General features: G+C 43.6%; 1 long non-coding RNA gene across 1 annotated transcript in view; it reads left to right on the forward strand.

Annotated features, from left to right (window-relative positions):
• The window catches only part of LINC00674 (long intergenic non-protein coding RNA 674), a 34,375-nt gene that overhangs the window by 9,617 nt on the left and 10,433 nt on the right, over window positions 1–14,325 (forward strand). The window contains exons 4-5 of the long non-coding RNA NR_027418.1: window positions 3,251–3,354; window positions 14,219–14,309. This is a non-coding gene — a long non-coding RNA (long intergenic non-protein coding RNA 674). The remainder of the gene's footprint in view (window positions 1–3,250; window positions 3,355–14,218; window positions 14,310–14,325) is intronic.

Consider the following 14,325-nt stretch of genomic DNA (forward strand, 5'->3'; position numbering starts at 1 on the left):
GAGTTTGAGACCAGCCTGGGCAACATGGCAAAGCTCCGTCTCTACAAAAAATACAAAAATTGGTCAGGTGTGGTGGCCTATGCCTGTAGTACCAGCTACCCAAGAAGCTAATAGAGGATTGACTGGGCCTGGGAAGTTAAGGCTGCAGTGAGCTATGCTCACACCACTGCATTCTAGCATGGGTGACCCTGTCTCAAAAAAATAATAATAATTTTTTTTTCAAAGTTGTACCATTTTGCATTTCTACCAGCATTGTATGAGTTTCAGTAGTTCCTCATCCTAGTCAGCACTTGATATTGTCTTTGATTTTAGCCATTCTAATTGGTAGGTATAGATATTTCTTTATACTTTAATTTTTACTTCATTAATAACCTACAGTTTTAAGCATATTTTAATGCACTTATTTATTGTCCATATAATCTTTGGTGAATATCTAAGTCTTTTGTTCATGTTTTAAAATTGGATTGTTTTCTTATTAAGTTTGAGAATTCTTTATGTATTTTGGATATAAGCCTTTTATGAGATAAATACTTTGCAAATATTTCCTCCTGGAGTGTAGCTCCCACCCGGCCCCCAAAAGATGTCCCAAAGAGAAGAAGTTTTGAATGCTGATGAAACCTGTTTATCAATTTTTTTTCTTTCGTGGTTCATGTTTTTTGAGTCCTAACTAAGTCTTTTTTTTTTTTTTTTTTGTGAGATGGAGTCTCATTCTTGTCACCCAGGCAGGAGTGCAGTGGCGCGATCTTGGCTCACTACAAGGTCCACCTCCCGGGTTCAAGCGATTCTCGTTACTCAGCCTCCCAAGTAGCTGGGATTACAGGCGCCCGCGACCACGCCTAGCTGATTTTTTTTTTTTTATTTATTTTCAGTAGAGATGGGGTTTCCCCATGTTGGCCAGGCTGGTCTTGAACTCCCTACCTCAGGTGATCCACCCGCCTCAGCCTCCCAAAGTGCTGGGATTACAGGTGTGAGCCACCGTGCCCGGCCCTAACTCTTTTTCTAACCCAGAGTTCTAAAGATTCTCTCTGTGTTTTCTTCAGCATTATTTATAATTTTAACTCATCCGTTTAAACTTATTTTCAAGTTAATTTTTTAATATGCTGTGAGAAGTAAGAGTCATGGTTTTTTTTTCATATGGATATTCCATTTTTGTAGCACTATTTGTTGAAAATACTTTTGTTTCCTCCATTGAATTGTCGTGGCACCTTGGTAGAAAATCAGTTGACAAGCCAGGTGTGGTGGCTCATGCCTGTTCTTTGGGAGGCCAAGGCAGGCAGATCACTTGAGGTCAGGAGTTCGAGACCAGCCTGGCCAACATGGCGAAACCCCGTCTCTACTAAAAATACAAAAGTTAGCTGGGCATGCTGGCGGGCGCCTGTAATCCCAGCTACTCAGGAGGCTGAGGCAAGAGAATCCCTTGAATCCAGGAGGCGGAAGTTGGAGTGAGCCCAGATGGTGCCACTGCACTCCAGCCTGGGTGACAGAATGAGACTCTGTCTCAAAACAAACAAAAAAATCAGTTGACAATATACATATAATTCTATTTCTGGACTGTCTTCTGTTTTCTTTATCTATGATTCTACCCCTTTAAGTTTATTCTTTTTAACACCGTGCTGTCTTGATTACTATAGCTTTAAAATAAAGCAGCTTTCAAACAAATTGAGTCTTTGATTTAGAATCTTGTAATGCTTTGGAGCCATTGTTTAATTTGTTCAGCCAATAAGTATTTATCATTTTTGATATGTGACAGATATTATTTTTATTATGTGGTACCATGAATGGAGATATAAGAAATCAGAAAAAGCCTAGATGGGGTCCTGTAGTTTTCCTTTCAGAATTTCTATTATGAACCTTACATTTTTAAATTAATTAATCTTTTTCATCTCTTACTATGTGATGAAAGAGGATTATGACAACCAGGACTTAACAAAGTTTGCTTGTTTACCAGCTGTCAGTCCCCTCAAATCATTTTTGGAAAAAGGTGGGATATAAAGAATAAACATATCTAAAATGTGACCATAGAAAAGAAAGGAGGTGATTGGTGTGTTAAGTATGGGTTGGATTATGAGTATTTATCGTTTTTGCTTGTATTATTTTTGTGACAGGGTCTCTGTCACCCAGGCTGCAGTGCAATGGCACAATCAGAGCTCACTGTGATCTTGAACTGGGCTCAAGTGATCCTCCCACCTCAGCCTTCTGAATAGCTGGGTCTACAAACATGCACTACCATGCTCAGCTAATTTTTAAATTTTTTTTATTTTTCGTAGAGATGGGGCCTCACTGTGTTGCCCAGGCTGGTCTCGAACTCCTGGCCTCAAGTGATCCCCTGCCTTGGCCTTCCATAGTGCTGGGATTATAGGCCTGAGACATTGCTGTGCCTGGCTTGCTTTTGCTTGCCTTATTTTATGTGTATATTTTTTCTAAAAGGCAAAAGAAAGGAAGAAACTTAATTTTATTAGAATGTAAGCATATATATATTCAAAAAATATATACACATATATACAAATATATGTGTATACACATACATATTTGTATACACATATACAAATATGTATGTGTATATATTTTTTGAGATAGAGCCTTGCTCTGTTGCCCAGGCTGGAGTGCAGTGGCGTGATCTCAGCTCACTGCAACCTCCGTCTCCTGGGTTCAAGCGATTCTCCTGCCTCACCCTCCTGAGTAGGTGGGATTACAGGCACCCACTACTACGCCCAGCTAATTTTTGTATTTTTAGTATACATGGGGTTTTACCATGTCTGCCAGGATGGTCTCGATCTCTTGACCTCGTGATCCACCCGCCTCGGCCTCCCAAAGTGCTGGGATTACAGGTGTGAGCCACTGCACCTGGCCTCTTTATTTTTTTAAAAGAGACAAGGTCTTGCTCTGTCACTCAGGCTGGAGTGCAGTGGCATGATCATAGCTCACTGTAGCCTTGAACTCTTGGGCTCAAGTAGTCCTCCCACACCTTAGCCTACCAAGTAGCTAGGACTATAGGCGCCTGCCACCATGCCCAGCTATTTAAGAAAAAACTTTTTTGCACAGATAGAGTTTCACCGTGTTGCCCAGGCTGGTCTAGAATTCCTGGCCTCAGGTGATCCTCCCACCTGAGGATTACAGGTGTGATCTACTGCACCTGGCCAAATTTCACCTTATTTTGACTTGAGTTTTTTGAGCGGATTGGCAGGGAGCAATTAAGTAATAGGCTAACAGGACCTAATAGTAATAGTGTGTTAAAAATTATTTTTTTCAGGAATCATATTGACAGGTCATGAAAATGAGACCAAAAGATCTCTGGAAGCGATTAATGATAAAATTTCATGGAGAAGAAGGCCTTGACTACGGAGGGGTTGCCAGGTAAGGACTTGCTTGCCAGCTTATGACATACGCATCTTTGTACTTACCAATTTAAGATATTTCCTGCGGTATAACTTTCTCATCGACATTTATTTTTTGGGTATTCTATTCCCTAATGTTTGTATTACTGAGGATATCCTAATAGATATATTCATAATGAGGTTAGGATAGTACTGCTACTGGACAAGTATTTTAGAACTCCCCAATAGATCATCTGAGTCCAATGAGACTGCAGGCCCTGTGTTTTCTCCATCTCTCCTTCAGCATGTTATTGCCTCTGCTTTACATTGTCAGGAACAGTTTTGAGATTTAAACGATATATGACGAACTGAATACTGGTTCTCTTTGCTTCCATTTGTTATGCCTTTTTTCCTTGTTAAATGAATGTGTATGCATGCATGTGTGTATACACATGTACATATCATGATGGTCCTCAGAATGTTTCAGTACAGAAGGTATAATGCTTCTGCTACATTTGTAACTCACAGGTCAAGTCAAATTGATTTCTTTTTCTTTTCTTTTTTTTTGGAGACAGGGTCTCCCTCTGTCACCCAGGCTGGAGTGTAGTGGCGCGATCTCGGGTCACTGCAACCTCCCCAAGCTGGGCTCAAGAGATCCTCCCACCTCAGCCTCCTGAGCAGCTGGGACTACAGGTACAAGCCACCACAGCCAGCTAATTTTTGTAATTTTTTTGTAGAGATGGGGTTTCGCCATGTTGCCTAGGCTGATCTCGAACTCCTGAGCTCAAGTAGTCTGCCTGCCCCGGCCTCCCAAAGTGCTGGGATTACAGGTGTGAGCCACCGCACCCAGCCAGTGATTTATTTCTGATATTATATTTACTATAAGAATTCTTTTCTAAATATGAAAATTAGTTTTATATAAATGTAGGATAAACACTGTAGCTCTCTACTGAAATGTTTTAAGGATCATTGTAATTCTGCTTTCCCTAATCTTAAATCCAACCAAAATTAAATTATGTTTTCAATAATTCCCATTAATTATTATTTAGCATTACATGTGTGTACTTGTAGACTTATTTTCATTCTGTTATCTTTTAAACCTATAGATGGGTGGTTTCTTTAGCATGGTTTTTTTTTTTTTTTTAGTATTTATTGATCATTCTTGGGTGTTTTTTGGAGAGGGGGATTTGGCAGGGTCATAGGACAATAGTGGAGGGAAGGTCAGCAGATAAACAAGTGAACAAGGGTCTCTGGTTTTCCTAGGCAGAGGACCCTGCGGCCTTCCGCAGTGTTTGTGTCCCTGGGTACTTGAGATTAGGGAGTGGTGATGACTCTTAACGAGCATGCTGCCTTCAAGTATCTGTTTAACAAAGCACATCTTGCACTGCCCTTAATCCATTTAACCCTTAGTGGACACAGCACATGTTTCAGAGAGCGCAGGGTTGGGGGTAAGGTTATAGATTAACAGCATCCCAAGGCAGAAGAATTTTTCTTAGTACAGAACAAAATGGAGTCTCCTATGTCTACTTCTTTCTACACAGACACAGTAACAATCTGATTTCTCTTTCTTTTCCCCACATTTCCCCCTTTTCTATTTGACAAAACCGCCATCCTCATCATGGCCCGTTCTCAATGGGCTGTTGGGTACACCTCCCAGACGGGGTGGCAGCCGGGCAGAGGGGCTCCTCACTTCCCAGACGGGGCGGCCGGGCAGAGGCACCCCCCACCTCTCAGATGGGGTGGCTGGCCGGGCGGGGGCTGCCCCCCACCTCCCGGACGGGGCGGCTGCTGGGCGGAGACGCCCCTCACTTCCCAGACTGGGCGGCTGCCGGGCGAAGGGTCTCCTCACTTCCCAGACGGGGCGGCTGCCGGGCGGAGGGGCTCCTCACTTCTCAGATGGGGCGGCTGGGCAGAGACGCTCCTCACCTCCCAGATGGGGCGGCGGGGAAGAGGCGCTCCCCACATCTCAGACGATGGGTGGCCGGGAAGAGGCGCTCCTCACTTCCCAGACTGGGCGGCCGGGCAGAGGGGCTCCTCGCATCCCAGACGATGGGCGGCCAGGCAGAGACGCTCCTCACTTCCCAGACGGGGTGGCCGCCGGGCAGAGGCTGCAATCTCGGCACTTTGGGAGGCCAAAGCAGGCGGCTGGGAGGTGGAGGTTGTAGCGAGCCGAGATCACCCCACTGCACTCCAGCCTGGGCAACATTGAGCACTGAGTGAGCGAGACTCCGTCTGCAATCCCGGCACCTCCGGAGGCCAAGGCTGGCAGATCACTCGCGGTTAGGAGCTGGAGACCAGCCAGGCCAACACAGCGAAACCCCGTCTCCACCAAAAAAATACGAAAACCAGTCAGGCGTGGCGGCGCGCACTTGCAATCCCAGGCACTCAGCAGGCTGAGGCAGGAGAATCAGGCAGGGAGGTTGCAGTGAGCCAAGATGGCGGCAGTACAGTCCAGCTTCGGCTCGGCATCAGAGGGAGACCGTGGAGAGGGAGGGAGAGGGAGAGGGAGAGCTAGCGTGGATTTTTAAAAATAATCTCTTGCACATCATACTTAGGACTTGATAGTTTTTGTGGAATTTGTGTTATTTACTTATAACTAGAGTTTGAATGTTTATTGGGAAAACTTAATCATGATCATCTGCTGGTGGCATCTAAGTACTATAATTATATGTATAGGTCAAATAAGTAGTTTAATTAATTAATTTCTTAGGGACAGGGTCTCTCTCTGTCACCCAGGCTCAATGGAGTGCAGTGGTGTGATCATGGCTCACTGCAGCCTCAAACTCCTAGGTACAAGTGATCTTCTTGCCTCAGCCTCCTAAAGAGCTAGGACTATAGGCACATGCTTCTATGCCTATTAAATTTTTTTTTGGCCAGACACGGTGGCTCATGCCTGTAATCCTAGCACTTTGGGAGGCCGAGGCGGGCAGATCACGAGGTCAAGAGATTGAGACTATCCTAGCCAACATGATGAAACCCCGTTTCTACTAAAAATACACACAAAAATTAGCTGGGCATGGTGGCATGTGCCTGTAGTCCCAGCTATTCGGGAGGCTGAGACGGGAGAATCGCTTGAACCTGGGAGGTGGAGGTTGCAGTGAGCCAAGATCGTGCCACTGCACTCCAGCCCGGGTGACAGAGTGAGACACTGTCTCAAAAAAAAAAAAAAAAAAAAAATTAGAATAATTAGTGTCAGCATTAAGCTAGTGCTGAGACCATAACCACTGTAAACAGGCACTCAAAGAGAAGGAAGACTAAGAGTCTTCCTTCTTGAATAGTTCTTGAACTTCCAAGAGATTCTTGACATGCCAATCGTAAGTTTATTTTGTTCCCCCATCCTAGCTATAAGGCTGTTTGGAATGGTTCTTTTTCTTGGTATCTCCAGCAAGTGCCTGGCCCAGAATCATACAAGATGAGGGAATAAATTATGACCATCCCAATGTCTTTAACATAAAATAACAAAGGTAGGTGAAGGGAACTGGAAGGAAGGAGACAAATGTGAATTTTAAGATTTTTATGGAGCAGAGATGCTACCCTGTCCCATCAAGCTTTGAGGCCCTGGCAAGACAGGATGCCTGAGCCTGCAAAGCAGAAGCTAGACCTTGGGCAGGAGTGAACTCAACATGGTCAGTGCCACTCTGTGGAGCCCTGTGGGGTGCCCAGCCTGCATCCCCAGCAGACGTCACTCTGCCTCCAGCTCGAGGCAGGGGCTGCAGAGCTTTCCTCTTCAACCTTCAGCTTGAGTTGGCAGGTGCACAGTCAAAACCTTCAGGGTCCTAGAGCATTCATTTTCAGGAAGTAAATCTTCAGGATGTACTGAAGCATCTTCAGAATAGCAAATATGAAGAGGCTGACCCACACTGACAGTTCTGTGATTTACATGATCATATTCAAGAAACAGAGCGAGGCCAATCACATACCCATATGGAAAAATATGAGCTTTGACTTCTAACTCACACCACACACAAAAATTAATCCCAGAAAGATCATAAACCTAATTGTGAAAGATAAATCACTAAAGCTTCTAGAAGATAATATAGGCAAATACCTTCAGATCCTTGGGGGAGATGAATATCTCTTAAATGGGACAAAAACCAAGCAAGCCATAAACAAAAAGACTGATAAACTGCACATCATTAAAAGAATCTCTGTTCAATAAAAATACCATTAGGACATTTAAAAGTCAAGCCCTATAGACTAGAAAAAGATACTTGATATATATACTATTTTTGTCCAGTAAAAGACTCATATCTATAATATACAAAGAGCTCCTTCAAATCAATACATACACATACAACTCAATTTAAGACTGGGATGAAAACTTGGACAGACATTCTATAAAAGAGGATTGACTGGCCAATAAGTAAATGAAAAAGTATCATCTTTAGTCATCAAGGAAATGAAAATTAAAACCACTACACATCTACTAGAGTGGCTAAAATGAAAAAGATTGGTAACACCATTGGCCAGGATAAAGAGCAACTAGAATGCTCATTTGTTGCCAATATGAGTATAAATTAGCACAAATAGTTCAGAAAACTGTTTGGTGGTGGTATCTATTAAAGCTAAACATGCCAGGCACAGTGGCTTACGCCTGTAATCCCAGCACTTTGGGAGGCTGAGGCGGGCGGATCATGAGGTCAGGAGGTCGAGACCATCCTGGCTAACACAGTGAAACCCCATCTCTACTAAAAATACAAAAAATTAGCTGGGTGTGGTGGCACGTGCCTGTAGTCCCAGCTACTCAGGAGGGTGAGGCAGGAGAATTGCTTGAACCGGGGCGGTAGAGGTTGCAGTGAGCCGAGATCACACCACTGCACTCCAGCCTGGGCGTCAGAGAGAGACTCCGTCTCAGGAAAAAAAAGTAAATCTATCCAAGAACCTAGCAATTCCTTTCCCAGGTATATACCCACAGAAATAAGCACTGAGGTTCTCCAAAAGCACGTACAAGATGTTCACTACAGCTTTCTTCATAATAGTCAAAACCTGGAAACAGCTGGGCGTGGTGGCTCACACCTGTAATCCCGGAACTTTGGGAGGCTGAGGCGGGCGGATCACAAGGTCAGGAGTTCGAGACCAGCCTGGCCAATATAGTGAAACCCTGTGTCTACTAAAAATAAAAAAATTAGCTGTGTGCGGTGGCACGTGCCTGTAATCCCAGCTACGTGGGAGGCTGAGGCAGGAGAATCACCTGAACCTGAGAGGCAGAGGTTGTAGTGAGCCAAGATCATGCCACTTCACGCCAGCCTGGGCAGCACAGTGAGATTCCGTCTCAAACAAATCTGGAAACAACCCAAATGTCCATTAACGAGAATGGGTGATAGGCTGTGATATATTTTTACAATGGAGTATTACAGAACAATGGAAAAGAATGAACTACAGTCTTATGCTGTATGTACAGCTGAAGCTCACAGATGTAGTGTTCAGTGAAAGAAACCAGATACAAAAGAGTACATACTGTGTGATTCCATTTATAGGCGTGAGGTTCAACAACAGGAAAAACTAACGCACGGCTCTAGAAGTCAGAATGGTGGTTTTCAAGGGGCACAATGACTGGGAGAAGGTACACAGGAGCCTCTGGTGGGCTAGACATGTTCTAGATCTTGATCTAGGTGGTGGTCACAGGGTGCACATCATAGGTAAATACTCACCAAGGTGGAGGACACTGAAGATCTGGTACTTTAGATACATCATTCCTCAAAAAGTTTTTAACGGAGAAAGTGGGGCAATTCAATGGGGGAAAGGACGGCCTTTTTAACAAATGGTGCTGGTTCTACTGGGTATCTGCATCCTTGATACACAGAAGTTAACTCAAGATGGACCACAGACTCACATGTAAGAGCTAAAATAACATTCTTAGAAGAAATCATGGAAGTAAATCTTCGTGACCTTGGATTAGGTAATGGGTACTTAGATACCACACCAAAAGCACAAGTGACAAAAACTAGATATATTGAACTACATCAAAATTAGAAGCTTTTATGCTGCCAACAATACCATCAAAAGAGTGAACAGAATGGGAGAAAATATTTGTAAATCATGTATCTGGTAAGGTTCTAGTATCCAGAATATATACGATTTAAAGAACTAGCCTGGGCAACATGGTGAAACCTCGTCTCTATAAAAAATATAAAAAAAATTAGCTGGTCTTGGTGGTGTGAGCCTGTAGTCCCAGCTACTCAGGAGGCTAAGGTGGGAGGAGCACCTGAGCCTGGAAAGTTGAGGCTGCAGTGAGCTGAGATCATGCCACTGCACTCCAGCCTGGGTGACAGAGCAAGGCTCTGTCTCAAAAATAAATAAAAAAGAAGAGAAAAAAAGTACTATTATAATCCAACAACAACAACAACAAAACATAGTTTTAAAATGGGCAAAGGTAGGCTGAATGTGGTGGCTAACACTTGTAATCCTGGCACTTTTAGAGGTTGAAGCGGGAGGATCACTTGAGCCCAGGAATTTGAGACCATCCTGGCAACATCACAAAGCCCCATCTCTACAAAAAATTAGCTGGTCATGGTGCCGCATGCCTATAATCCCAGCTACGTGGGAGGCTGAGGTGGGAGAATCACTTGAGGTCGGGAGGTTGAGGCTGCAGTGAGCTGTGATCATGCCACTGCACTCCAGTCTGTACAACACAGTGAGATCCTGTCTCAAAAAAAAAAAAAAAAAAAAAAAAAAGCCAAAGGTTTGGAATAGACATTTCTCCAAAGAAGATACACAAATGGCCAATACACACATGGAAAGATGTTCAACTTCATTAACTGTCAGGGAAACATAGATCAGAACCACGATGAGCTCCCACTTCTTACCCACAGTGATGGCTATCATAATTTTTTAAAAAACTAGACAGTAGGCCAGGCACAGTGGCTCACGGCTGTAATCCCAGCACTTCCGGAGGCTGAGCCAGGTGGATCACGGGGTCAGGAGTTCGAGACCAGCCTGACCAACATGGTGAAACCCCGTCTACTAAAAATACAAAAATTAGCCGGACGAGGTGGCATATACCTATAATCCCATCTACTCAGGAGGGTGAGGCAGGAGAATCACTTGAACCCTTGAACCTGCAGCCAAGATCGTGCCACTGCACTCCAGCCTGGGTGAAAGAGCAAGACTCTGTCTCAAAAAAAAAAAAAAAAAAGTATACTGACAAACCTTGGGAGGCTGAGGCAGGAGAATTGCTTGAAACAGTTCAGTTGTGAACTGCTGGGATGTATGTCACAGCTGATCAACATGTGAAGATACTGGTACTTGATAGCCTGTTAAGGAAAATTTGCTTCCAAATTTTAAGCTGGAAAGTCACTGGAATAACTTTAAAAAAGAATTACAATACCTGGCTTTTTAGATTTTCTTTACGTGTGTTAAGAATTGTGTACAAATTGAAATGTCTGTACTGATCCTCAACTAATAAAATCTCAATTATGAATGAAAAAATAAGTAGTTTTGCAGGAGGCCTGATGTGGGCTGGAGTCACTCTGTGTTCTCCTCCTACAGCAGGGCCTCACTCTCCTCCCCCTCAGCAGCCGACTCTCCAGTTGGGGTCTTCTCTGTTGGGGATTCAGTGTCCCTGGGATAAGAATAACAGTGCCAAGGTTTTGATTCTTGAAAGGAGCAATTTAGCTTCTCACCCCCTCCTCATTTTAGATGGGAACCGTGAGGGCCCTGTCGTCTACCTGGTGTCCCTGTTGAAGATCTCATCCTCATTGGAAGACTCCTTGTCATGCAGCTTCATGGTTTCTTGTTTTTGTTTGTTTTTTTGAGACAGAGTTTTGTTCTTGTTGCCCAGGCTGGAGTGCAATGGTGCGATCTTGGCTCACTGCAACCTCCGCCTCCTGGGTTCAAGCAATTCTCCTGCCTCAGCCTCCCAGGTAGCTGGGATTATAGGCCTGCACCACCACACCTAGCTAATTTTGTATTTTTAGTAGAGACGGGGTTTCGCCATGTTGGTCAGGCTGGTCTTGAACTCCCAACTGTTACGTATGTCCATGTGAGGAGAGTCCACCAACAGGCTTTGTGTGAGCAACAAGGTTGTTTATTTCACTTGGGTGCAAGTGGACTGAGTCCACAAAGAGAGTCAGCAAAGGGAGATGGGGTGGAGCAGCTTTATAGGATTTGGGTAGGTGGTGGAAAATTACAGTTAAAGGTAGTTATCTCTTGCAGACAGGGCAGGGGTCACAAGGTGCAGGATGGGGAGATCATGAGACTCATTGTCCAGGGGAGGAATGTCACAAGGCCAGTTGATTAGTTGGGGTGGGGCAGGAACAAATCACCATGGTGGAATGTCATCAGTGAAGGCAGGAACTGGCTGTTTCATTTTTTTGGTGGTTCTTCAGTTGCTCCAGGCCACCTGGACGAATACCTGCAGATCACAGGGGTTAACGATGGCTTAGCTTGGGCTCAGCGGCCTGACATTGAGGATCCTTCTTTATCTTTTTCTGATGCCCTTCTATGAGAATGAATATGTTTTGGAAGAAAATGCAATTAAGATTATCCATCACAACAACCACTATCTCCAAATCTGTATTCATTGCTTCTATTCATTATTCATTATAAGTCTCATCTACCTGATGAAATAACTTTTTTGAAGATAGGAATTGTATGCTGTTTAACAGTGCTTTGATTCTTCCACAGTTCAGTCATCCTTGATATCTTGCAGGGGATTGGTTCTAGGATACCGCTGCCACGCCATACCAGAATCTGTGGATGCTCAGTCCCTTACATATAATGGTGCAGTATTTGCGTATAACCAACACACATCCCCCCATATACTTTATTGACTTAGAGACAAGATCACCCTCTGTTGCTCAGCCGGAGTGCAGTGTCACAATCACAGCTCACTGCAGCCTCAACCTCCTGGGTTCCAGTGATCCGCCCACCTCAGCCTCTTGAGTAGCTGGGACTACAGGTGCATACCACCACACCTGGCTAATTTTAAAAAAATTTTTATTTTTAGTAAAGACAAGTTCTCACTATACTGCCCAGGTTGGCCTCCCAAAGTATTGGGATTACAAGGGTGAGCCACGGTACCTGGCCCCATGTACTTTAAGTCATCACTAATAAAATGTATAGATATTGTACAATGGTGACAGTTGTTATGCTGTCTTTTCTATTTGTATTTTTATTGTTTCTTTTTTCAAATATTCAGCCTCATCTAGTTGAATCTGAAGATGTGGACCTGATGATGAAGAGGGCTGACTGTATCTAACTTAGGGTCTTGCATGCAGCTGGCACTTAATACATTTTATTGACTATTTTAGCTAACATTCAACAGACAATTCCTAATAAAAAACTCTTAAAAGTAGGAAAAAAAGTCCTTCCTCTAAAGTGGCAGGAAAATCAGCCTAGGCAACATAGCGAGACCTTGTCTCTACAAAAAAAATTTTTTTTAATTAGCTGCCTGCTTGTAGTCCCAGCCACTCAGGAAGCTGAGGCAGGAGGATCCCTTAAGCCCAGGAGCTTGAGGTTACAATGAGCTAGATCACACCATTGCTCTCCAGCCTGGGTGACAACAAGGCCCTGAGAAAGAAGAAAAAAAAAGAAAAAGGAAAGGAAGGAAAGAATATAAGTATTGAAAAGGAAGAGACAAAACTGATTATTTGCATATGAAATGATAAATGTGAGACAGCCAAGGAAGCCTAAGAGAATCAACTAAGTTTGTCTTACTGGAAGTAATATGAGAATTCAATACAGTGGCTATATAAAAATCAAGACAGCAGCACACAGACCTCAACTACTTTTCCCATGTACCACCAATAACTAATTAGAAAATGGAAGGAAGATCCCATTTACAATAGCAATACAAATGTATGGAGTATTTAGGAACAAAAATGCAAAGATCTTTTATCTAACAAAAAATATATAAAATCTATATGATGAAAACCCTAAAACTCTTCTGAAAGACATTAAAAAGAAATGAGTACATGAGGCAGCACATTTCTAGAATGTTGTACAGATGTCAATTCTCAAATTAGTCTACAAATTTAATGTAATCCTATTCAAATCCTCAGATAGTTTTTGGTGGTGGCTGTTTTTGAGACAGGGCCTCGCTCTGTTGCCCAGGCTAGAGTGCAGTGGTATGACTACAGATCACTGCATCCTCGACCTCCCAGGCTCAAGCAATCCTCCCACTTCAGCCTCTGAAGTCTCTCATATGGTGTCCGAGAAATGGGGACAAATCTCACAAAGGGACTAGGCTCAGGAGGGCTGGAATATTCAGGGAAGGTTTCAAGCAGAAAGATGAACTTGAGTTGGCTTTTGAGAGATTCATAGGATTCCCACAGGCAGAGTGAAATAAGGGAATTTTAGATGAACAAACGCACAGACAAAAGCAGAAATGCAGATGGTGTGACTGGGGGATGGTGAGGGGCTGCTCTGGCTGGAATGGAGGGCTGGCTGCCACAATAGTGGAAATGGTAAATGAGGCAAATAAGGTTGGATTGGTAGGATAGCATCAAGGTTGCCAGCTTATTAAATCACTCTTCCAATATGCTAGCACTGGCCTATTGGGAAAAGTAATGCATCATGTAATCAAACAAAAGGCAAACAGAGGCAAGCTCCAGGAATGGGCACTGTAAACAGGACTCACCCTAGAGTGGCCAGATGTAGACTTTAGATATGTTAATGCAGGTTGAGCATCTCTAATCCGAGGGGGAATGTCTCATATGGTGTCCAAGAAATGGGCACATCTCACAGAGGGCCTAGACTCAGGAGGGCTACAGTATGAGACATTTCCCCTCCCTTGTGAACTTAAAAATGTGGCCAACAATTTTTTTAAAAGATGGTTACCCTGCAGTGCTTTAACTGGACCTATTTAGACAACGCCTTACACACTGGAGAAGGATGATACTTTGTGACTCTAATAAATCTACCAGACAATACTTCTCTCTTTTGGCTGTCTCCTTCCTCTCCAGGGTGATGACAACTCCGTGAGGGTGGAGATTATACATCTCTCATCATTTCAGCAACAAGGAAATAAATTAGTGGCAGAGTAAGGGTGACTTGGTGAGTACATCCAATT

Source organism: Homo sapiens, chromosome 17, assembly GCF_000001405.40.
Source record: "Homo sapiens chromosome 17, GRCh38.p14 Primary Assembly".
Lineage (NCBI taxonomy): Eukaryota > Metazoa > Chordata > Mammalia > Primates > Hominidae > Homo > Homo sapiens.